The 25,361-nt window shown below is 39.2% G+C and overlaps 1 protein-coding gene across 18 annotated transcripts in view, besides 4 other annotated features; it reads right to left on the reverse strand.

Annotated features, from left to right (window-relative positions):
- Positions 1–25,361, reverse strand: part of DENND5B (DENN domain containing 5B) — a 208,911-nt gene that overhangs the window by 125,377 nt on the left and 58,173 nt on the right. The window lies entirely within an intron of this gene.
- Positions 10,878–11,415: an enhancer, noted in NCBI's record as "NANOG-H3K27ac hESC enhancer chr12:31671414-31671951 (GRCh37/hg19 assembly coordinates)". NCBI's record gives its function as "activates a minimal SCP1, AML or CMV promoter by ChIP-STARR-seq in naive and primed H9 embryonic stem cells {active_cell/tissue: H9 hESC(naive and primed)}" and the evidence as "EXISTENCE:reporter gene assay evidence [ECO:0000049][PMID:30033119]".
- Positions 10,878–11,952: a biological region, named in NCBI's record as "NANOG-H3K27ac hESC enhancers GRCh37_chr12:31671414-31671951 and GRCh37_chr12:31671952-31672488".
- Positions 11,153–11,447: a silencer, noted in NCBI's record as "tiled region #725; HepG2 Repressive non-DNase unmatched - State 10:DNaseD, and K562 Repressive non-DNase unmatched - State 22:ReprW". NCBI's record gives its function as "represses a minimal TATA promoter and a strong SV40 promoter by Sharpr-MPRA in HepG2 and K562 cells {active_cell/tissue: HepG2 | K562}" and the evidence as "EXISTENCE:reporter gene assay evidence [ECO:0000049][PMID:27701403]".
- Positions 11,416–11,952: an enhancer, noted in NCBI's record as "NANOG-H3K27ac hESC enhancer chr12:31671952-31672488 (GRCh37/hg19 assembly coordinates)". NCBI's record gives its function as "activates a minimal SCP1, AML or CMV promoter by ChIP-STARR-seq in primed H9 embryonic stem cells {active_cell/tissue: H9 hESC(primed)}" and the evidence as "EXISTENCE:reporter gene assay evidence [ECO:0000049][PMID:30033119]".

Raw genomic sequence — 25,361 nt, forward strand, 5'->3', positions numbered from 1 at the left:
TAATAATAAAATTTGAAGTGAGAAAAAAAAATTTTTTAAGTAATTTAAGTATTGTAACTGCTATTATGAAACTCTAAGAGGAAAGAGTCCATAATTTTTAGATTAATAAATGTCATGCGCTTGCCAGTGCTTAGTAAATAATTTTTATTATTCTGAAGAACATCTAAGTGATTTTCAAATAATAAATACAGCCACGAAAACAAGGTTCTGGTTCTGGCTGAATATGCTGGTCTAGTAGCCTAGTGCAAATCACAATGTCTTTGAGCAAGAGTTTTCTCTTATAGAAAACACATTATTTTATTACTAAATTAGAAACACATTATTAATTATTCTTAAGTATTTACCTTCTATGGAAATTATTTATCCAATGTATTTCTGGGAAAGCATATTGTTATCCATGTCACATTTTATTATTCAATATAAAACAAATCTTTCCCCATTACTAAAGAACATATTCTTTGCTAAAGAGACACCAAGAGAGCCACGCTTTGCCTTCCAGAACAAAAGAAAGTAACTCAACATTAAAAAACTTAGGGCTGACAAGTAACACTATGGAGCAACACTGCTAAGCTGATTCAAACAAACTTTCCTGCTGCATGACTCAAAGAAGCAGTCATTTGGTCAGAGGTAAAGTAGACCTTTCCCTCCATTTCCATTAACTACTTTTGCTGCCAATACATACTATCACCAAAAAAATTTTTATAAGAAGTCAAAAACACAAGGAACTCAGTTAAGCTTACACAAAAATACCACTTTCTTCCTCCTACATTAGAAATCAACAAAGTTCTCTAAAAGAAAGATATAAATTACAAGGTAGAGAAGGGGGTACATTTGTTCTACTAATGTAAAATATCACATTAGTCAATGCAGTCTATTAGTAAATAGACTATCCTGTTTCATGGTCTATGAAATTATCCTAACATGAGCAAACTGGGCTAAATATGTTAGAAACGAGACTCACTGGGAAAGAGAATCTTCCTGTAAGAATCAAACAGAAGTCTCATTATTCTAACAATTAAATGAAGTTGTTGGAAGCTTAAAATGGTTCAGTTGATGTGATTTGTGCTAAACAAAAGCAGTTATCTGAGTCTCTCTGCGTTAGTGTGTGGCCTTTCATCTAAAGGCCTTCAAGGCCCTCCCCTACTATGTTTGGTGTTAGAAGACCCAGATTTTAAAATAGTATTAAGGTTCTGCACAGACTGAAAATCACACATCACATATATCAGGAGGAGAACAATGACCTATAAGATGACTAAGACCCTCCCAGTTCTATCAGAGACTGTGATTCTCAAAGCTACTACCTAACGTACTTTTTTGAAATAGAAAAAAGTCAAGTCACCTTTGGGGGAGGGGCGAGGTGGAGCCATTTTAACCACTTTTTGAAGTCTGCAAAATTAACATAAAACAAAGCAACCAAAACCAAAAAAAGTGAGGTGAAGGGAGCAGAATTTTCCCCTTCTCCATGGGAAAAACAAAGTCTTCCTTCCTCCCTCCATCAGAAAAACATAAAAAGAAAATCCTCAAGATGATCCCCAGCCCTGAGTTTCAATTCATGACTTTTACTATCCACCAAGAATCTCCACTTGCTGTCTCAGACTCAGCAGCCTCAACATCAACGTTTACACAACCAAGCTCATTTTTCCCCTCAAAGCTTTTCCTCTGTCGACAGTGCCACAATTCATGTAGCCATCTAAGTATTATTATCCACTTATTCATCCCTAAAGAGGAGTTAATTTGGCCAAGTGTGGCAGCTCACGCCTATAATCCCAACACTTTGGGAGGCTGAGGCATTCTAAGGGGAGAGACCCATAGTTTTGTATGCCTACAGGCCTAGCTACTTGGGAGGCTACAGCAGGAGGACTGCTTGAGCCCAGGAGTTAAGAGGTTACAATGAGCTATGATTGTGCCACTGAATTGCAGAGCCAAGACTCTTTCTCAAAATAAATACATAAAAATAATTTTTAAAAAAGTTTGGTTGTTTTAAGTGGCTAAATTTTGAGATAGTTTATTATGCAACAATAAATAACTGGAAAAAATAGTGAACAAAATATCCAAAATAATCCTTGCTCTCACAGTTTACATTCTAAGAGGAGGGAGATAATAAGTATAATAAATTATATAGTATGTTGGAAGATGAAAGGTGCAATGGAAAGTTAAAAAAGAATAAAGTGAGGAAAGCCAGCAGTACACAAGTTGCAGTATTAAGTAGGATGATCAAGTTGGCCCTCATTGAGGTGATGTTTGAGCAAACTTGAAGGAGACAGAGAATTAATCTTACCTCCTTGGGAAAATCAACGTGAACTAAGATACCAGTGTCACAAATTCAGTCCCTGCCAACTAAGTCCAGATTCCTTAGATGGCATTTGAGGACCACCATGATCTAGCTGGACCTACTTTAGTTTCTGAGGCTCCTGCACTTGAGCCACGCCAAATGACGTGCAGTTCCCTTTTAAGTACGATATCTTATGGGTCCTTGCTAGACTTCGTGTGTCTGAAACAACTTTTCCCCTGTAATAATTTTCTATTGCCCCAAGTTATTATGATAAATTTAGCAGCTTAACACACCCACATTTATTATTTCACATTTTCCATGAGCCAGAAGTCTGGCACAGCATGGCTCAGCTGATTCCTTTACTCCAAGTCTGACAATACTGAAACCATCCTGTTGACAGGGCTGCATTCCTTTCTGGAGGCTCTGAAGAAGAATCCACTTTCTTTATTCTTATTCTTTGAGATGGAGTCTCCCTCTGTCACCCAGGCTGGAGTGCAATGGCACAATCTTAGTTCACTGCAACCTTTGCCTCCGGGGTTCAAGCAATTCTCCTGCCTCAGCCTCCCGGGTAGCTAGGACCACAGGCGCCCGCCACCACACCTGGCTAAAGAATCCATTTTCAAGCACACTGCGGTTATTGCTGGAATTCAGTTCCTTATGGTTGTAGAGCTAAGGTCCCCGTTTCCTTGCAAGCTGTCAGCCAGCTGCCCTTAGCACCTAAGATCTCTCTTTGGTCCTTGTATATGGCACCCAACATCTCAAATCAAACCATCTTGCACTTGAAATCTCTCTAATTTCTTCTCTCTTCTGCAGCAGCTGAGATTTTCTGCTTTTAAGGACTCGTGATTATACAGGACACACCTGGATAATTCAAGCAACTCTCCCTATTTTAGGGTCAGCTAATTAGTCACCTTAATTAAATCTGTAAAATTCCTTAACAGCAGAACCTAGACTGCTCTTTAACTGAATACCCAGAAGACAATGTTTGGGAATATTTTAAAAATTCTGCCTACCACACCCCTCCTTCCATGTCTGCCTATTAGGCTCCTACACATCTTTAAGAATTCTACTCAGGGCTGGGTGTGGTGGCTCATGCCTGTAATCCTAACATTTTGGGAGGTCAAGGCGGGGGAAATAACTTGAGCCCAGGAGTTTGAGACCAGCCTGGCCAACACAGTGAGACCCCATCTCTGCAAAAAAATTTTTTTTAAAAAATTAGCCAGGCATGGTGGCATGAGCCTGTAGTCCCAGCTACTCAGGAGGCTGAGGCAGGAGGATCTCTTGAGCCCTGGAGTTCCAGACTGCAATGAGCTGTGACTGCACCACTGTACTCCAGCCTGGGTGTCAGAGGGAGACCCTGTCTCAAAAAAAAACAAAGATTCTATTCAGAAGAGACCTCCTGGGGAAACCTTTCTTGACCTGTCCAGAAGAGAGGAGTTTCTTCCATAACGCTACAAAATCTACAAATTAGAACAGATTTTTATGGTCCAATATTTTAAAAATTCCATAGCTTAATTTTTAAATGAACCACTATCGTACAAACACTGTACTAAACAAATATTAATTGATGTGTTAAAATAAAATTTTTTCTCAACAGTAAGGTTCAAGATAAAGCATTTATCTTCCTTTCTTGGTTATCTTAATAATACGTGAATATGATGTCTTTTTTTTTTTTTTTAACAGAGATAGCACTGTGAAGTTCTTGGAACTTTGTTCTCATAATTGCTATGGCATATTGTTGTCTGCTTACCATATTACATTAACACTGTTAAATTATATCTTCCCCTTTATAAATTAAGCTCTTCAACACATTATTCACCCTTACATCCTCAACACCTACTTAATATTGTGCCTGGCAATAAAAATGTTCGTTGAGTAAATGGATAGATGAATAAAAACTGTACTCTTAGGTCTGAATTATATACTCCAAAATTTTTAAGTCACTTATTTAAAATATTGGTAGCTTTGAAAATGATTCATTTCAAAGCCTTGACTATATATAAACTAAAATATAATTTAAGAAATAAAAACATCCCCTCCACTGCCCTTTTTTTTTTTTTTTTTTTTGTGACGGAGTCTCGCTCTATTGCCTAGGTTGGAGTGCAGTGCTCAGCTCACTGCAACCTCTGCCTCCTGGGTTCAAGCGATTCTCCTACCTCAGCCTCCTGAGTAGCTGGGATTACAGGCACGTGCCACCATGCCTGGCTAATTTTTGTATTTTTAGTAGAGACGGGGTTTCACCATGTTAATCAGGCTGGTCTCGAACTCCTGATCTTGTGATCTGCCCGCCTCGGCCTCCTAAAGTGTTGGGATTACAGGCGTGAGTCACCGCACCAGCCTCCACTGCACTTTTCTTTGACATAGAGTCTTGCTCTGTGACCCGGGTTGGCATGTGGTGGTACAACTACGGTTCACTGTAGCTTGGACCTCATGGGCTTGTCAAGCGACCCTCCCACCTCAGCCTCCAGAGTAGCTGGGACTACACGTACACACCACCACACCCCTGGCTAATTTTTTTTTTTTTTTTTTTAATTTTTAGTAGAGATAAGGTCTTGCTATGTTGCTCAGGCTGGTCTCAAACTCCTGGGCTCAAGGGATCCTCCCACCATGGCCTCTCAAAGTGCTGGGATTAGAGGCATGAGCCACTGCACTCAGCCTATTTTCTTTAGAATATTTTATTCCTTTAATAATTTGTGTTGGTTTGTAAATTAAAATTTGATACCTACCTTATTTCAAACATAGGGATATTATTATTGTACTGTATATCCGTCATGGTGTCACATAATCAAAATTTTATTAACCTTTGCTTTGAATCCTAGATTTCATGGTTATCTTCTTTCTTCAGCTTTGCATTGGTCAAACTCATTTCATTGTTTTAAGAAACTTTTTAAAAAGTAAATTTAATTTTTAGAATGGTTTTAGATTTACAGAAAAATAGGGAAAATAGTAAAGTTTCCACATACCCTAAAACCAGTTTCTCCTAATAGTAACATCTTACATTAGTACATTTATTAAAATTAACGACCAGTATTTGGTACATTATTAGCGAAAGTCTAAACTTTATCTAGATTTTCTGAGTTTTTACCTAAGATCCTTTTTGTGTTCAAGAATCTCACCCAAAATACCACATTAGAGCAGTCAAGCCTCCCTAAGTTCCTCTTGGCTGTGACGGTTTCTCACATTTTCCTTGTTTTAGATGACCTTAATAGTTTTGAGTAGTATTGGTCAGGTATTTTGTAGAAGGTCCCTCAACTGGGATTTGTCTGATGTTTTTCTCATGATTATACTGAGTTTATAGGTTTGGGGAAGACCACACAGGTAAAGTGCCATTTTCATCACTTAATATCAATGATTCATACTGTCAATATGACATCACAGTTGATGTTAACCTTGATCACTTGGCTAAGATAGTGTTCTTCAGGCTTCTCCACAGAAAAGTTCTTTTTTCTCTCCTTTTCTATATTGCAATCTTCAGATGGAAATCACTCTACCCAACCCACATTTTAGAAATAGAGAGTTATACTTCACCTCTTGAGGGTAAAGTACGTATCTACCTCTATCATTTGGAATTCTTCTGTAAGGGAGATTTGTCTCTTCTCCATTTACTAATTTATCTGATCATTTATTTACATCAGTATGGACTCATGCATATTTATTTTATATTTTAAGTCATGACAGACTTTTATTTTTCTGCTCAGTGTGTTCCAGTTTGGGCCATTTACAACTCTTTTATTTGGCTCCTATGCCCATTTGATGCACCCCCATCTATGTGTTGTGTGGCTTCTTTGTTCTGTTTTGGGTTTTTGAGCACTTCCTTAATTGCCAGCAGTATAAGGCTCATATTTCTTGCCCCATTTCTAGAAATCAGACATTTCTCCAAGGACCCCCTGCTCCTTTAATTGGAAAATGGTATTAGAAATGAAGACCTCTGGGGTGTCATTGCTTGTAAGTCCCTCAGATAACATTTTTTTTTTTTTTTAAGAGACAGGGTCTCACTCTGTCACCCAGGCTGGAATGCAGTAGCACAATCATTGTTCATGGTAACCTTGAACTCCTGGGCTCAATCAATCCTCCTGCCTCAGTCTCCCAAGTAGCTAGGATTATAGGAATGTGCCACCACACCTGGCTAATCTTCTTTAAAATTTTTTGTAGAGAGAGACAGGGTGTCACTATGTTGCCCAAGCTGGTCTCAAACTCCTGAGCTCAAGCAATCCTCCCACCTCAGCCTCACAAAGTGCTGTGATTACAGGTATGAGCCACTACACAAAGCCAGGATAACTTATTTTTGCTTCTTACCTAAATATTCAGAAATAGGGGAAAGTTGGTAATACCAGTTTATAAATAAAATGTTTAAATCTTTTATAACAATAAGAGCAACAGGCTGTATCATATAGTCAAGGTTTGTAGTAGGCTATGCTACCTAGTTTTATATAAGCACACTCTATGATGTTTGCACAATAACAAAACCTCTTAATAGTGATTTTCTCAGAATGTATCCTCATCGTTAGGCATATGAGAATAAACGAATAATTATGAACATGGGCTAGTTGAAAGAACACAGGAATACTACTGACTTTGTGTAAAGATTTTTACCTTGTTTGTACAAATTCTACAATAATGGTTTTGTAGGACTATGAAGGTTATTTAATAAAAATTTAAGGCTGGGCATAGTGGCTCACGCCTGTAATCACAACACTGTGGGAGGCCAAGGTGGGTGGATCACTTGACATTAGGAGTTTGAGACCAGCCTGGCCAACATGGTAAAAACCCATCTCTACTAAAAATACAAAAAATTTGCCAGGTGTGGTGGCGCGTGCCTGTAATCCCAGCTACTCGGGAGGCTAGGGCAGGAGAATCACTTGAATCTGATTCAGGGAGGCAGAGGTTGCAGTGAGCTGAGACTGCACCACTGCACTCCATCTGGGTGACAAAGTGAGACTCCGTCTCAAAAAAAAAAAAAAATTAAGATTTGTGACACTGGGTGCAGTGGCTCACGCCTGTAATCCCAACACTTTGGGAGGCTGAAGCAGGAGAATCACTTTGGACCAGCCTGGGCAACATATCAAGACCTTTTTCTCTACAAAAAAAAAAATTTTTTTTTAATTAGGCATGGTGGTGCACACCTGCAGTCCTAGCTACTCAAGGGACTGAAGTGAAAGGATTACTTGAGCACAGAAGTTCAAGGCTGCAGTCAGCTCTGATAGTGCCACTGTACTGCAGCCTGGGCAACAGAGTGAGACCCTGTCTCTAAAAAGAAAACAGAACGTAAGACTTGCGATTATAAGCCGAGTGTGGTGGTGCATGTCTGCAGTCCGAGCTATTTGGGATGCTGAGGTGGAAGGATCACATGAGCCCATAAGTTCAAGGCTGCAGGGAGCTATGATTGTGCCACTGCACTTCAGCTTGGGTGACAGAGTGAGACCCCATCTCTAAATACATACACATACATTTTTTAAAATTGCGATTATAATTATACTGAAATTATGTTTAAATTATCATTATTATTATTATTGTAACAGTATTGGATTCTTTCACAGTATGATATAGAAATAGATGAGAAATAACCAGGGAAACTACATTATTAATTTTGTACTTCTGTAAGACCATTCCACATACTTATAGTTTTGCAGATATACTTACATGGTGGGTAAATTTTATTGCCATAAATGTTTATTAAGTTGTACTTCTGTGAGAGACTACAGTATGTCAATTCCTTTCAGGATGAGTTCTAAACAACTTCCCATTTTGTATGAAGGAATGAACAAAAAAAGGAATGAACTTGAACTCTGTTCAATTATATACAATTAATCAGTAGAAAAACTGTTACATAGATATGCTTTTTACACTAAGATTAAACTCATCTATTCACTAGTAACACAATATTACTGGTATAAATAGACTACTCAAAATTCTGTACTGCCAACCAACAAATATATTGAGCCTTGCTACAAGCTTAGCCAAGCATATTAGGAATATAGAAAATTTATCAGTAATGGTTCTTCCCTCAGCATTTATAGAAGAAATTCTTGAAAAGGCAAAAATTCAACTGTTAGAGACAATTATAGCACAATGGAGAGGCTTTAGAGCATATCTTAAAATAATTTAAATATATGCATTAAAAGCTACTCTTTCCGAAAAAAGTGATTACACTTATCTTGCACGTAGATGTATGGGTATGAAAACTAGGTTGCCCCTTGTTTATTGGGCTGAACTTGCTCCTTTTGATAATTACTAAAGTATGTCATTTATTTATATTCATTTTCTCTAATGATGTACAGCATATTCTCTGTGTTAGTATATCTCGCACCTAAACAAATTAAGCATGGGTGGGCACGGTGGCTCGCGTCTGTTAGCTCTTTGGGAGGCTAAGGTGGGCAGATCACTTGAGCCCACGAGTTTGAGACCAGCCTGGGCAACATGGCAAAACCTTGTCTCCACAAAAAATATAAAAATTAGACAGCTGTGGTGGTGCACACCTATAGTCCCAGACAGCTACTTGGGAGGTTGAACTGGATCACCTGAGTCTAGGGATGGTGAGGTTGCAGTGAGCTGTGATCACGCCACTCCTCTCTAGCCTGGACAATAAGAGTGAGACCCTGTCTCAAAAAAAAAAAAAAAAAAAAGTTAACCCCAAGCCATGAAGAAACCTTGGCCCATTATCTATTTTTTCCATTTCTTCATCACATTTGAGCTTTCATCATTGATGATAGCAGTCATTTTTCTGTTCTTTGGTTGCAAAACAATATACGATTTATGTGCTCCTTCAAGACTGATATAATATCTGACTGCCATTAACACCTACCTTTTCAAGAGCTGACCATCTGATCTATATATTATTTAAGTTCTTTCCTTTGTTTCTTGGGCTGCTCAACTTTAATGCAATTTATTTTCCTGTCTGTAATTTTAAAAAATTTCAGGCTGGGCCCTGTGGCTCACACCTTCTAATCCCAGCACTTTGGGAGACTGAAGTGGGAGGGCTGCTTGAGTCCAGGATGTTGAGGCTGCAGTGAGCCCTGATCGTGCCACTGCACTCCAGCCTGGGCAACAGAGTGAGACCCTATCTCAAAAAAATTAAAAAGAAGAAATTAGAGCATATAGAGAAGTAAAACAGAAATAATTAACACTGTGTGTAGATACCTTCCCTCCTGAATTCAACAAATGTTAACACTTTGCTATATTCATTTCACAACTTTTTAAAACAGAAATATGAATCTTAAATTCGGCTGGGGAAAAAAAAACAGAAATAAAAACTTTAGATAAATGAAAATTCCCTCAGCTGGAGCTCAGAACATCAGCCTCCATTCTGCACATCCATATCTTTCAGGACTGTTTCCTACATGTATAAACTACCCCACTACAACCCACGGTGATTCCTTTTTTCTCTAAGCCCTACCCACTTGATTATCTAATATAGGCAAATGTTTGTTTTGTTTTGTTTTTCTGTGAGAATGTCCTCTATCCTGCGCTTAAAGCGGACTATGAGTAGTTAGCACCCTGTATCACACCCAGCTCTATGCCCTAATTCTGTATTGGCTGTTTGCTGCCTTTGTCTTGAGACTTAAGGTGAAAACCATCTTAGCTGAGGTGAAGGGCAGTGAAAAGTATAGCACAGTACTGAATGAGAAGTGCATAGAAATATGAACTGATAAAAGAAACAATCTCTCCATAACTACACAAGCTTCAGTTAAATTAACAGCTGTAGCCTTAGTTTTACTAACGATTGTATTTGGACGTTAGTCTGTAAAAGAATTCACCTCCCATAGGAACAATGTTATAAGATGATTAAGTCTCCTCATTTCCCAGCCCTAAACTAGTAGGGGTGCTTTTAATGATCCAAGACTGGGATCTGGGAAGGTCAGGGAGGAGAAAGTGACAGAGATCAAGTTCAGAAGTCCTTGAATCCAGAGTTGATGAAGGGCTGGGAAGTGAAGCACAGGGGTTCTGGGAGTCTAAGAAGTCAAATGACACTTTGGGGATCATCAAACACTATGAAGTTTATCCTTTACTGTGCCTTTCTGCCTCACACTAACCCTTCCTATAACTTGTTACCTGCAGCTATGTACTCTTGCCTTTGCAGGTGGATGAGAAAGTGGGGGCTCCTTCCCTCAACTCAGCCTTGCATTGCTGGAATAAAAAGCCTGAGTTCCCAAAGGTAGATCTGCGGGCAGTCTCTGCAATGGGAGCAGTGCAAAGTGGAGAGGCAGGGAAAGAGCTTTATAAACTGAAGCTCTGGAAGTCAGAAACCTCTCACATTCAGCTTCTCTGATTACACAGCTCATCTTTCCTCCTCAACCAGACTGGATGTCCCACTATCAGAGACTATGAACACATAAAACTTGATTCAAATATTTTAGGAAATAACACTACACAAACAAATAATTCAAAAAATGTTAGACTTGAATTATCTTTAAGAGCCTGAGCAGTCCCTCTCCCTCTCTCATTGTTTACATTAGGAGAACACAGATGCTCAGCTAACATGGTTTGCCTAAGGTGAGAATTAAAGACAGAGCTGAGGCTTGAATTAAGAGTCTCCAGAAACCCAGTCTCAAAGACAGTGTCTTCCTCTATTAAATGTCCACCTCTGTACCCTTGTGCCAGGACCAGGGCTAAGCATGTAAGCATGAGGCACATACTCAATAAAAATGGGCCAACAGACTTTTCTACATGTAATCTGTGAGCTTTGAGGCACTATTCAAATATACCTTTTTTTTTTTTTACTAAGATAGTTAGCAAGCAAATATCTTCAAGCAGCTTTTAATCAAGCTTTTAGTACTGTATATTACCTTCCCTTCTCAAACTAACTTAAAATCACCTTAATTCCACACTCACTGCATCATACTCAAAAGCATAGCTAATTTTCTGGGTTTTTTAAATCTTTTTTTTTTGCCTCATGCTGTGCTAATTTAACCTCATCTTGGTAAACAAGAAAATGGTCCTAGTTTGACAGACTCTAGCTGCAGCAACTGCAGCTGGCCTATATGCAAACCAATTTTGTTCATTCTTTATCCTGGCAGGGAGCCCTGCCCTAGAATTGTTTTAGGGCTAATCAGCATTAAACCTGCGTCAGAAATGTTGCTGAAAGCAGCCCTAGAGCAAGACCACAGCAACAAAGCTCTTCAGGAAAGGGATGACAAATGCAGCAGCTATGTAAAAATCTATGGGAAGACTTTTGTTCATGAGAGTAAAAGTGGGGCCTAGCTTCTTTTCTGTGCTTTGGCACTTATCCTGTGGAAATGACTTCGAAAGGAGATACGGAAGACAAACGATGCACCAAATTTGCTCTATTTCTTTCTTTCTGGGTGCTTGGTGATTAGCCAAAAAATGTTACTAACTTCAGATGGTAGCAAATGGTAAAGAAATTAGATTTGCATCCTTTGCTACTCTCTGAACTTGAAAACACTGCATGACTTGTCTTTTTGAAAACACTGCATGACTTGTGAGTTAGCATGATTTTCTATAGGATGAACCTGAGGTACAAGAAACAGATGTGCATAATGACACCTTGAGTAGATATAAACAACTCTGTCTAAAAACTTTGTTAATGGATAAATTCCTTAACAACAAATGATTAAATATTGGAGTGGTTTTCTTTCTACTCATCTGCTGGATTCAGTCTGTACCTTTCAGTGTATCACATTCATTTTACATTAGAATTTGAATGTATTAGCAATCTAATACATTGTTAGTAACTTTCACAAGTACTCACAAAAGAAGGCCATTAGGCTTCCCTAAATGCCACCAGATCTGTGGGGCTCACACAGAAGTCAAAAAAGGACAGTCCATTTTTGTCTGATCACTGTAGTTCTTGAACATATGGTTGCTTTCTGTGTCTGCTCACTTAATTCTCATTAAATGACTAGTAAATCAGTAACTGCAACAGATAAGCATGCTTCAGAATTTTTTTATAACAGCTTTATTGAGCTATATTGCACATACCCTTACACTCACCCTTTTAAAGTATACAATTCAGTGATTTTAGTATATTTATAGAGTTGTGTGAGCATCACTACTATCTAATTTTAGAACATTTTCATCACCCCAAAAAGAAACCCTGCACCTCACCTTAGCAGAGAGACTTTTTGATATGGTAGCCATCCCTGTTTGCTAGGTGTGTTTGCTACCTGTTCAGGCATTTCTTGGCCTGTGTCAACTGGAACATGGCAAAAAAATTTTATAGTGTTTAGGCAATAAATGAAAACCCTCATAAAATGTGTTTCAAATAAGCTTTTTCTCTAGTCCAATCCTATCCATGTACCAGCTTGGAGACTTTCATTCTAAGAAATAATTTATTTGCAGAAGAGTTAATAAACACTATCCAACTTACAGATATCAAAATGAATTGTGATAACATCTACAAAAATCAGTTTCCTGCAGATATTCTGCGTTGAAGTTCTTACTAATCAACTATAGGGTGCTATAGAACTTTTTAACCTTGTTTCCAAAATATGGGAAGACAATTTTGCATTATTGCAGTTTCCAGGCACTTATAATGAATTAAAATGAAACAGCTGTTAATCATATGCAGCAAATCTCTAGCTAGTATAGAAGTTAGGCACACCTAGCATAGAAACTAGGCAGATAATGGAACTGAAATAAACTTAGTAAGCAAAGAAAGTTAATAGAAAGATAATGTGAACCATATATATAATTTAAATTTTTCTAGTAGCTACTTTTTTTTCTTTTTGAGAAAGAGTCTCACTCTGTCATCCAGGCTGGAGTACAGTGGTGTGATCTCAGCTCACTGCAACCTCCACCTCCTGGGTTCAAGCGATTCTCCTGCCTCAGCCTCCCGACTAGCTGGGACTACAGGTGTGTGCCACCATGCCCGGCTAATTTTTGGTATTTTTAATAGAGACAGGGTTTCACTGTGTTAGCCAGGATGGTCTCGATCTCCTGACCTCATGATCCACACACCTCGGCCTCCCAAAGTGCTGGGATTACAGGGGTAGCTACATTTTAAAAATAGTTAACAACAACAACAACAACAACAACAAAAACAGGAAAAATTCATCATGACAATAAATTTTACTTCTTGTATCCAAAATATTGCTCCAACATGTAATAAACATACAAAAATGTTAGTGAGATATTAAATCTTTGAAATCCAGTGAGTATTTTACATCTACAGCTCATTTCATTTTGAACTAGTCAAGTTTCAAATACTCAAGTCACATGTGGCTAAGTGGCTCCCATATCAAGCAGCACAGCCTTAGATCATTAAAGTTGGTCTTTTTTTTTTTTTTAATTTCATCATAAGGGATTGCCTGGCTATAAGGATGCCAAGGGAAATAATGCTAACTGAATAAAATAGGCGTCAAAAACAATAGAAAAGGTTATATCAATGTTATATATAGTAAGTTCAGAGATAAGGCATTAGAATTCCACTGTACATTCTGTGGGGTGTGCAGATATCAGACATTCACTTTAGTACAAAAAAACTTTTTTTTTTTTTTAATATTTAGAGACAGCGTCTCACTATGCTGCTCTGGCTGCACTCGAACTCCCGGGTTCAAGTGATCCACCTGCCTCAGCCTCCAGAGCAGCTTGGGAATACAGGCACACACCACTGCACCTGGCTATTCTACCAATACTTATTTTTGTAGACTGAACTGTACAGGGTTAAGTAAAATTATAATGAGAAAATTGCTGATTGTATTTCAATTAAATTTAAGAAACAGTTTCATTTTTGTTAGTCTGTCCTATACAAGATGCCTACATAAAACAGAAATGTGTGTGGGTTTTTTTAGTGGCTTTTCTACTCCTGTATATCTAGCGTCAACAAAGACCACCACCATCCATCCAAACCATTAAACCAAGGAATGATTCTTGCTTCCTCTTGCTTCCCCTAGCCATTTAAGTAACTGCCTGTAATGCTAAGTTCCGTTCCATCCCCATGCCTTAGTTTAGGTACACTTCATCTCTTGTCCAGACTACTTCAGTAGCCTCCTACCTGGCCTCCCTATCAACCAGACTCCATACTATTGCCAAAATCATCTTCTTAATATGCTAATCTGATCATTATAATCCCCTGCATAAAATCTTTCAGTGGCTCTTTATGACTGGATAAAAATTCCTTAGCTTGTAATACAAATTTATATTTGGCCCTTGGCTACCCTCTTCAATTCTATTTACTACCCTTCCTCTTCTCTCTCATGTTAGCTATAGTAAATTTGCTGTCATATCCTCACCCCTTTCTGCTTTTACAAATGTTTTCCCTCAGTTTAAGACATCCCCCACTCAATCCTTGCCCACTTAGCAAACATCTGCTCATGGTGCAGAGTTACATTCTCAGTGAAAATTTCCCCATCTCCCACTAGGGAGAGTTAGATAAACACCTCTAAACGCTGATTTACAGCATCTATCACATTGTGCAGTAGAAAAGGCTAAGCTGAGAGTCAATAACCTTTGGAAACTTCTTAGGAAAGCATGGCCATATCAGGAACTAAAATTTGCTGTACTCTGCAGTCCTAAATTCATGTACCTCCCTTTGAAAGCTGGGCTGATCCCAATTTCCTAGGTGAGGTAAATATCAAAGAGGTTCTAACTAGTTCAAAATTTTAAAACTATTAAAATTGCTATTATTATTTTGAGACAAGGTCTGGCTCTATTACCCTGGCTGAAGAGCAGTGGCACGATCTAGCTCACTGCAACCTCTGCCTCCTGGGCTCAAGCCATCCTCCCCAGTTCAGGCTCCCAAGTAGTTGGGACTACAGGCACACACCATCATGCCCGGCTAATTTTGTATTTTTTGTCGAGATGAGGTTTCACCACGTTACCCCGGCTGGTCTCGTTACTTGTGAGCTCAAGCGACACACCTGCCCTGGCCTCACCCTGGGACTACAGGTGAGCGACTGCACACGGCCTTTTTTAACCTTTAACTCTCCAATAACTTACTGCATTTGTTCAGTTCTTACCTGATCCCAGTAAAGTATCCATGACAAAAACATCTAAATACCTTTCCTTTTTTAGGCAGGAGGGAGTGGGGCTTATATGCAGGCTTTGACTTCCAGTTTTATTGAGGGTGGCTTCATCCCTTAGAACAACTTTTGTGTTGTTTTCAGACCTAGAGTGGGGCTGTGAAACTCCCAAGTCTTGGGTTATAGGGGACCAATATGGGAGATTCCCTGAGGATGTTAGCATTCCCAGAATAGGAGGGAAGGTGAGATAAATGTGCCTTTTTTTTTCCTTTTTTTTTTTTTTTAAAGAAAAAGCCTCATTCTGTCGCCCAGGCTGGAGTGCAGTGGCGTGATCTCGGCTCACTGCAGCCTCCGCCTCCCAGGTTCAAGCGATCATCCCACCCGAACCTCCCAAGAAACTGAGATTACCGGCATGCACCACCACACCTGCCTGGCTAATTTTTGTATTTTTAGTAGAGATGGGGGTTTGCCATGTTGGCCAGGCTGGTCTCAAACTCCTGGCCTCAAGTGATCCGCCTGCCTTGGCCTTCCAAAGTGTTGGGATTACAGGTGTGAGCCACCACACCTGGCCTATTCTTGCAATTCTGGAAGATTTAGGGGGCTGGCAGGAGACAAGACTGAGATTGTTTAGGCCATCCTGTTGCTGACACAATCCTGGCACTTAAGCGGGAATGCAGTGGCCTAAGTGTAAGGCAACATATCTCTCATACCATTTCACCAAAACAAAACAAAAAACACTTCTGAGTGAATGTCTGGCCATCTTATTAGCATCTTATTAATCTGTTTTGACATTATCCTAAAAATATGCTTTTCCTCAAAAAAAAAAAAGTCGTACAACACTGTGAATGTATTAAATGCCATTAAATTGTACACTTCAGAATGGTTAACTTTATGTTATATAAATTTTGCCCCAATTTTTAAAAATGAAAAAAAGAGTATATGACAAGAAAGATAACTACAGGATTACCAAAGCCATTATATTTTCCCTCATTTGTATGTACATGACACACTGGTTCTATAATGTTTCCCAAGAATAGATCTTGAATCCTAAGACTGCTGTGATGGGACTCTGAGAGAAGAGATTATAATGTCAGAATACTTAGCTCCTAGGATGTGATTAAGCTTATTTTGTTCATCACTAAAGTGGTATCATAGCATTCTTTCTACCATATTAAAGTAAATGAATCCTAATTAACATCTGTAATAGCTCAGTGGGCCTCTTTGTCTTTTAAGTGAAAACTACTGAGCCCTTTTTTTTTTTTTTTTTTTTTTAGATCATGTCATAGAAACATTGGTGGCACAATCCAAGTGGTGACGAATCAATTAATGCATGGAATAAAAAAAGAGCTGAAAAGACAGTAGTAAACATAGGGCTAATTTATGAATTGTATTTTTAATGAAATTACCTTTTATTAGGAAACTCTAAGAGGTCTATTTCTCTCCTTTTGAATTTGGGCTTGCCTTGTGACCAGCAGAATATGGCAGAAATGTCACTGTGACAGTCCTAGGTTCAGCCCTTAAGAGAGTCCTGGAAGCTCCTGTTGTTTCTATCTTAGAATTCATTTAAGAAGCCTGGTTGGGACGGGCACGGTGGCTCACACCTGTAATCCCAGCACTTTGGGAGGCTGAGGTGGGCAAATCACCTGAGGTCAGGAGTTCCAGACCAGCCTGGCCAACATGGTGAAACCCCATCTCTACCAAAAATACAAAAATTAGCCGGGCATGATGGCATGTGCCTGTAATCCCAGCTACTTGGGAGGCTGAGGGAGGAGAATCGCTTGAACCTGGAAGGCAGGGGTTGCAGTGACCTGAGACTGCACCATTGCACTCCAGCCTCGGCGACAGAGCCATGATACTCTGTGACATTTACAAAAGAAGGAATATCCTTGAAATTTAAGAAAAAATAAAAACCAAAAACAAAGAAAAAGAAAAAAAAAGAAATTTGAGCAAGGTAAGCTTAGGATAAGCAGAGGACAGTGTGACTTGACACATCAGCTTAGAGACCCAGTTTTCTATAGTCCTCTCTTAACTCCTATCATCTGAGAGCCCTACTCTCTTTTACTGATTCTCTCACCATTTCTCAGGCCTTTGTCCCTGTTCTCTTGCTCCCTTCCATTCCCCTTTCTTCATCTACTAAAATGATACACCTCATGAGAACATACACAAATGACCAATAGGCACATGAAAAGATGCAACATCATTAGTCATTAGGGAAATACAAATCGAAACCACAATGAGATACCACTTCACACCCACTTGCATGACCAAAATAGAAAAGACAGACATTAACACATGTTGGCTTAGATGTAAAGAAATTGGAACCCTCATCCATTGCTGGTGGAAATGTAAAATAATAACTGCTTTGAAAAAGTCTGCTAATTCTTCAAGTGGTTAAACATAGTATATACCCAACATTAATAAAAACATGTCTGTCCATGCAAAAATCTGAATGTTCATAGCAGCATTATTCATAATAGCCCAAAAGTAGAAACAACCTAAATTTCCATCAACTGATGAATGAAAAACTAAAATATACTTCTATAAAATAGAATATCTGGCCATAAATAGGAATGTAGTACTGATGAGTGCTACAATGTGGATGAATCTTGAAAATATGCAAAGTGAAAGATGTCAGACACATACTGTACAATTCTATTTATATGAAATACCAGAATAGGCAAATTTACAGACATATAAAGAATATGTGTTGCCAGGAGCTGAGTGAAGGGGAGAATGGGGAGTGAACACAGGTATGGGGTTTCTTTTGTGGCTGATGAAGATGTTCTAACATTTATTGTGGAATGGTTGCACAACTCTGTGAATATATGCATAGCAATTGAATTGTTTGCTTTAAATGGTGCATTTGATATGTATACGTTAATAATATCTCAATAAAGCCATTTAAAAAAATTCTATGAGGTCAGGCACGGTGGCTCACACTATAATCCCAGCACTTTGGGAGGCTGAGATGGGTGGATTGGCTTGAGCTGAGGAGCTCATGACCAGCCTGGGCAGCATGGAGAAACCCCTTCTCTACAGAAAAATATAAAAATTGGCCAGGTGTGGTAGCAAGTGCCTGTGGTCCCAGCTACTCCAGAGGCTGAGGTGGGAGAATTGCTTAAGCCCAGGAGGCAGAGGCTGCAGTGAGCTGAGATTGCACCATTGCACTCCAATCTGAGCAGTGGAAGTGAAACCCTGTCTCGAATAAATTTTTTAAAAAATTCTATTAATACTTTAAGGGCAAGTTTAAATGTGATCTTCTCCCTATTTCTCACCTCACCCAGTTAACATTAATAATTTCCTCTGTGCTGTCAAACCAGTTGTTATTACAGTCTGTTAGTTATATATTACCTATATTAGAACCCAGGCTAGTAAAAAACTTACTCAAATTTCTTTACATCCCCCTTCACAAGGAGGAATTCGATACAGTTCATTACACAGGGTAGGTACCTAACACGTCTTTACTACAGAAATATTTACATTTACCCATTAAAATGTCACAAACAGTTAATGGTTAGGCTAGGATTCACCTCTTCAAATGACAACATGAAAGGATTGGGAAGCTCTGATGGCAGAAGAGAAGACGCTAGATAAACTCTGCATTTGACCCAGAAAACATGTCAAATCCTATGATCTTGTCTAAAGTTCAACAATGCCCTGTAGCTATATATTCTAGTGCTCCTAAGTTTTACAACCTTTCCTTCCTTTAGAAATATTCACGATGTGAATGCTGAGGCATAAATAAATAAAAGAAATATTCACTTGAGCAAATAATCCACAAGAATCCTTTAAGAAGTAGTCTCTGCAGAGATTAGGGGAGACTAAAGAGACATAACTAAATGCAATGTGGTATCCTGGATTGGACAGTGGAACAGAAAAAGGGTATTAGTGGAAAAATTCACGAAATCCAAATGAAGCCTGGAGTTTAGTTAACAGTATTATTCCAATGTTAATTTCTTAGTTTTGATGAATGTACCATGGTTATGTGAAACGTTAACATTTGGAGAAACTGGGTGAAGGGTAAACAGGAATTCTACACTGTCTTTGGAACTCTTCCGCAAATCCAAAGTTATTTCAAAATACTGTTGTGACTCTACTGTGAATTAAGGCAAAGAAGGATATATTAATCTAAAGTATTTTCATATTCATCCATTCAACAAACTATTTTGTGCCTGCTATGAACATAACATTCTGGGATGACTCTGGGAACAAAACAAAGATTCCTGCCACCATGGTGCTTATAGTTCAGTAGGGAAAACAGGCAATAAACAATAAACATAATAAATAAGTTACACGGTATGAGAGAGGGTGATATGGAAAAACATGACAGTAAAGAGCATTGAGGGATCAGCACTGGGAAGCAGGTGGAGAATCACAATTTTAAAAATAGTCATCTGGAAAGGACTCACTGACACAGGGCATTTAGGCAGACATGAAGGAGGTGAGACAGTGAGCCAAAAGATCCTTGGGGGGAAGAGCTTTCCAGGCAACCAGAACAGCTAAAGCAAAGATCATAAGACAGGAGCATGCTCAGATTGTCTGGAAAAGAGCAAGACAAAAGCAATATAATGAGTGAAGAGGAGAGAAAGCTCCAGAGGTTACGGGCGGCCAGATCATATGAGGGATCTGGCTTTTCCTCTGAACAAATGGGAAGTCACTGGAGACTTTCAAACAGAGGAATGCTGCGCTTTGAAAGAATCACTCCAGGCTGGGCGTGGTGGCTCATGCCTATAATCCCAGCACTTTGGGAGGCCGAGGCGGGCGGATCATGAGGTCAGGAGTTCGAGACCAGCCTGGCCAACATGGTGAAACCCTGTCTCTACTAAAAATACAAAAATTAGCTAGGCATGGTGGCCCACACCTGTAATCCCAGCTACTCGGGAGGCTGAGGCAGGAGAACTGCTTGAACCCGGGAGGTGGAGGTTGCAGTGAGCTGAGATCATGCCACTACACTCTAGCCTGCGTGACAGAGCAAGACTCCATTTGGGGAAAAAAAAAAATCACTCTGACAGTTGTATTAATAATAGGCTTTATGCAACATCACCTATATGGTATTCTTGGAAAAAATGTTTAATGTGAATCTAATTATGAGGAAACAATCAGGTAATTCCACAACGTGGGATAGTCTGCAAGACAATATGCCTAGACTCTTTAAATTAAAAACAGTCAGTGTCATGAAAAACAAAAAAGGTGAGGGAGATTATTTTAGATTAACAAGGCCATAACAACCGAACATAATGAACAACCTTGACTGAAATCCTAAACAGGAGAATGTATTAATTTCCAATGGCTGCTGTAACAAATGACCTCAAACGATATGGCTTGAAACTTATTCTTTCACAGTTCTGGAGGCCAGAAGTCAGAAATCAGTATTACTGGTCTGAAATCAAGGTGTCAGCAAGGCCGAACTCCCTCCAGACGGTCTAGGGGAAAATTCATTTCTTGTTTCTTCCAAGTTCTGGTTGCTATGCGCATTCTTTGGCTTACAGCTGCATCACTCCAAACTCTGCCTGTCTTCACATCACTTCCTCCTGCGTGTGTCAAACTTCCCTTTGCCTCTCTCTAGAAGGGTGCATGTGATAGCATTTAGAGCCAACCAGGATAATCTCCGCATCTCAAGATCCTGAATCACATCTGTAAAGATATTTTTTTTCCAAATAATGTAACATTCAGGTTCCAGGTATTACGACCTGACATTTAATCTACCTAAGAGGTAAAAGTATCTCTGACCAAGGTGTAGCAGCGGAGATAGTGAGATGTATTTGAATTCTGGATATATTTTGAAGGGTGAGGCAATAATACGAACAGACCAAACACGGAGTATGATACAAAGAGAGTAATAAAGAAAGCGTGCAAGGCTTTTGAGAGACTGCACTGTCAACTGACAAAGGGAAGATTACATTTCTGAGGAAACAATAGGAATCCAGTTTTGAACATACTGATTTTGAGATGCCAATTCTAACTGGAGATGTTAAGACAGCAGTCAGATAAATTTAAGTCTGGATTTCAGGAGGGAGGTCTGAGCTAGAGAGGTAGATTTAGGACTCATTTGTAAAGAGCTGATATTGGATCATATTAAAGTCATGAGGGTCAGGCACGGTGGCTCATGCCTGTAATCCCAGCACTTTGGGAGGCCGAGGCAGGCGACCACCTGAGGTCAGGAGTCCAAGAGCAGCCTGGCCAACATGGTGAAACCCCGTCTCTACTAAAAAACACAAAAATTAGCTGGGTCTGGTGGCGGGTGCCTGTAATCCCAGCTACTCAGGAAGCTAAGGTAGGGTGAATTGCTTGAACTCGGGAGGCGGAGGTTGCAGTGAGCCAAGATAGCGCCACTAAACTCCAGCCTGCGCAACAGAGCGAAACTCTGTCTCAAAAAAAAAAAAAAAAGAAAAGAAAAAAGGCATGAGGTATTGGATGAGATAACCAAGGGAGAAGATGATGACAGCAATCTATGAAATCACAAGATGCCTGACAGGGCAGAAAAAAACTAGAGAAAATCTTATAACCTCAGTCATCCTAAGATTGGATGGACCCAGCAGTTCTCTAAGAAAACTGCATCCAAAGGAGTCCACAGCACTCAAAGATCTTGGAAGATTTTCTGGTTCCCCTCAATTTAAAAATGTATGCAGCTAATCAAATGGCAGGTCCAGGATCCCTGAGATAGGAAACTTAGAACCAATATTCCACTTAAACATTCCACAAAAGCATTCCAAGTCCTACCAAAATAATTCAACAGCCATCACTCAAGAAAACATCCTTTAGGCTGGGCACGGTGGCTCACACCTCACTTTGGGAGACCAAGGTGGGGGGATCGCTTGAGCCCTGGAGTTCGAAACCAGCCCGGGCAACATGGTGAAACCCCATCTCTACCAAAAATACAAAAATTGGCCAGTCTCATAACCCAGTCTCAAAATAAATAAATAAATAAAAATTTAAAAATAATTTTTTTTAAAAAAGAAAACATCCTTTAAAAAATGCCCAACACAAAATCACATCAGTTTTTATTAAGAATCTCTTACATTTTTAAAACACAGAGTGATAAAAACTGCTATAATTGCCATATGAATAGCCATGGCTTAAAATGCTGCATTCTCCCAAAAATGCACTTAGCACAACTGCACTTTTTTATTTTATTACTGCTTCCAGAAGAAGGATCTAGAAACTTTGTGTTATACAAATTAAACACCATAGCACTATAAATCAATTTTAATGAAACTGAATACAACTGGACATGTTAACTAAATGAAAATATACTAGTCACATATCTAAAGAGGAGCAACATTTAAAAAAAATACATGCAGCCGGGCGCGGTGGCTCATGCCTGTAATCCCAGCACTTTGGGAGGCAGCGGCGGGCAGATCACTTGAGGTCAGGAGTTCGAGACCAGCCTGGCCAACATGGTGAAACCCTGTCTCTACTAAAAATACAAAAATTAGCTGGGCGTGGTGGCCCATGACTGTAGTCCCAGCTACTTGGGAGGCTGACGCAGGAGAATGGCTTGAACCCAGGAGGTGGAGGTTGCAGTGAGCCAAGATCGTGCCATTGCACTCCAGCCTGGGTGACAGAGCAAGACTCCATCTCGAAAAAAATAAAAATAAAAACAATATATGAATCAGTTTCAGGATTATTTGTGAAAAGTGAAACACTGTATACAATATTTTGAATATGCAAACATTTTTCTAGAAAGAAGGTTCAAAACATTTTACTATATTCTCAATGGTATCCATTATTCCAACATAGTTTAAAACTCTCAGGTTTGAATTAACATTGCTAAAGACCTGAAAATCAAAATAAATCATAGTTGAATATGTCAGCACTGAAAAAATATTAAATTTTAAAAATAGAATACACATTTTCACGCTCTTTAAAAATAATTATACTAAACAAAGAAGGGAAATTTGGCAAGTTAAAGCCATGTTCAGACATAATGAAAATTATTTAATGAAAAGAGTCTCCAAAGAATTTCCTTAACAAAATAAGTACATTTACTTCTGAAAGCTTTAAGCCTTAGAGGAACCCAAGCCTGGGATCTCAAGTTTAAGTTGCTGCTATCAAAGTTGCCAGTGAGGTAATCAGCTAAAATCTTTCTATTTCTAGTAATCAGCCAAGATTCATCTCCTATTTTACTCTAGGGATCTCAAAAGGGCTTTTAAATTATAATAAGAATAGGTAAAATTGAGAAAGGTCCGAAACACAAAAGGGAAGCAGAAACAGGCTAAGTAATTATTTTCAACACAGTTCATTATGCAGTGTTCAAAGAAATGCATGCTTTCCTGAATTAAAATGTTCTTAATACATTTAATATTAGGCATAATGTTGACTCAAAGTCTCTTTGGCTCTACACACATTACCTAACACTTTTATATCCTACTACGAGTTAATAACTGTTCTTAGAACTAACTTTTTTTTTTTTTCCTTTTTACTTTGAGACGGAGTCTCGCTCTGTCACCCAGGCTGGAGTGCAATGGCGCAGTCTCGGCTCACTGCAATCTCCGCCTCCTGGGTTCAAGCCATTCTCCTGCCTCAGCCTCCCAAGTAGCTGGGATTACAGGCGCATGCCACTACGTCCCGCTAAGTTTCGTACTTTCAGTAGAGACAGTGTTTCGCCATGTTGGCCAGGCTGGTCTCGAACTCCTGACCTCAAGGGATCTGCCTCAGCCTCCCAAAGTGCTGGGATTACAGGCGTGAGCCACCGTGCCCAGCCAGCTCTAACTTGTATTAACTCATTTAATTCACATATACTATGGTAAAATGATTTTTTTTTCTGAGATGAACTCCTTGGACTGACAGTAAGCACTATAGGTTTACTTTAGGGTTTGAGTCAGAAGTTACTTCCATAAGAAAAGTCTTTTAAGTCCTGATTCCTGGCATCATGCTATTGTGGCTATAGTCAACCCAGAATTACATTCCTTCCAGAATGAATTGAAGAATCTCATTAAGTTCAAAATTCACTTAAATACTGACGGACCCTGCAACTTCCTTGATCCGCCCAGCAGAAACTGAGCTTATATCTCCATTCTACTCACTACAACAGAAAAGCTGGAACTGGCCTAGAAGTAAAATCAGAATAGAGAGATACTTGTAGGCTACTTATTTGGAGACATGAAGGTCTTCAGCCAGACCTTACAGAGAATTACTTCACTTACTCAGGTAACGTTTATGGAGCCATTTCACTGTGCTGTGTACTGGAAATATAATAGAAAATAAAAAAATACACCAGGGGACAAAAAATAACAAATGCCTGCTCTCATGGAATTTCCAGTTTGGGGAGAAGACTGACATTAATCAAAGGAATGCAATTATGACTACATGGCTATAAACTGAGATAATTCTCTGAAGAAAGAAGCACAGTTTACTTAATGTTGATTAAAATAAAGGGGTGGCATGGAGTACTCTGGGATGTCAGAGACTTCCCTGAGTGACAGATGCCTGACCTAGGACTTAAAGAATAATTAGTCATTAATTAGGCAAAGACTGGGGGATAGGGGGAGTAGGTAAGAAGCATTCCAAAATCAAAATAAGCCCAATGTGTCTGGAGGGCAAAGATACAGGAAGAGAGGGGAGGTTTAAGACAAGAGGGTGGGCAGGGCTTGCTAACATATTTAGGCTCATAGACCTCAATATAACAGCAATGGAAAAATCACTGAGGTGGCTTTAAGTGGTGTAGAAGAGACCAGGCAGGGAGGGGGAAAAATTCTCATTCTAAAAAGATCATTCTGGCTTCACTATGGAGAACACAGATGGGAGAATGGTCAGGATAGACCTGTGAGAAAATTAGTGAGTTATATAGTAGTGAAATAGGGAGGTGGGAGAATGATAGAGAGAAGCAGGTAGATTTGAGACCTATACAGGAGATAAAATTGATGGTACCTGATAAGTTATTGAGGATAAAATTAGATATGGGGGAATTGGGAAAAATAAAGTATTCAGAACTTCTAAGTTTCTGGCTTTGGCAACTAGTTAGATTGTGGTACCAACTTGTTCAAAAACGGAAGGCTGGAAGAGGATCTGGTTTGAAATGAAAGCATGTTCCATCTCAGATATGTTGATGATTATTTCACTGGCTGAATTATTTTGTACAATGAGAGAAAAGGTTCCCGTGGGACCAGAAGACCTAGGATCAAGTTCTGGGTTCAGACATTATAAACAGGACTCTGATTTTAACAAGTCAC

The sequence above is a fragment of the Homo sapiens genome, chromosome 12, assembly GCF_000001405.40.
Source record: "Homo sapiens chromosome 12, GRCh38.p14 Primary Assembly".
In the NCBI taxonomy this organism is placed as follows: domain Eukaryota; kingdom Metazoa; phylum Chordata; class Mammalia; order Primates; family Hominidae; genus Homo; species Homo sapiens.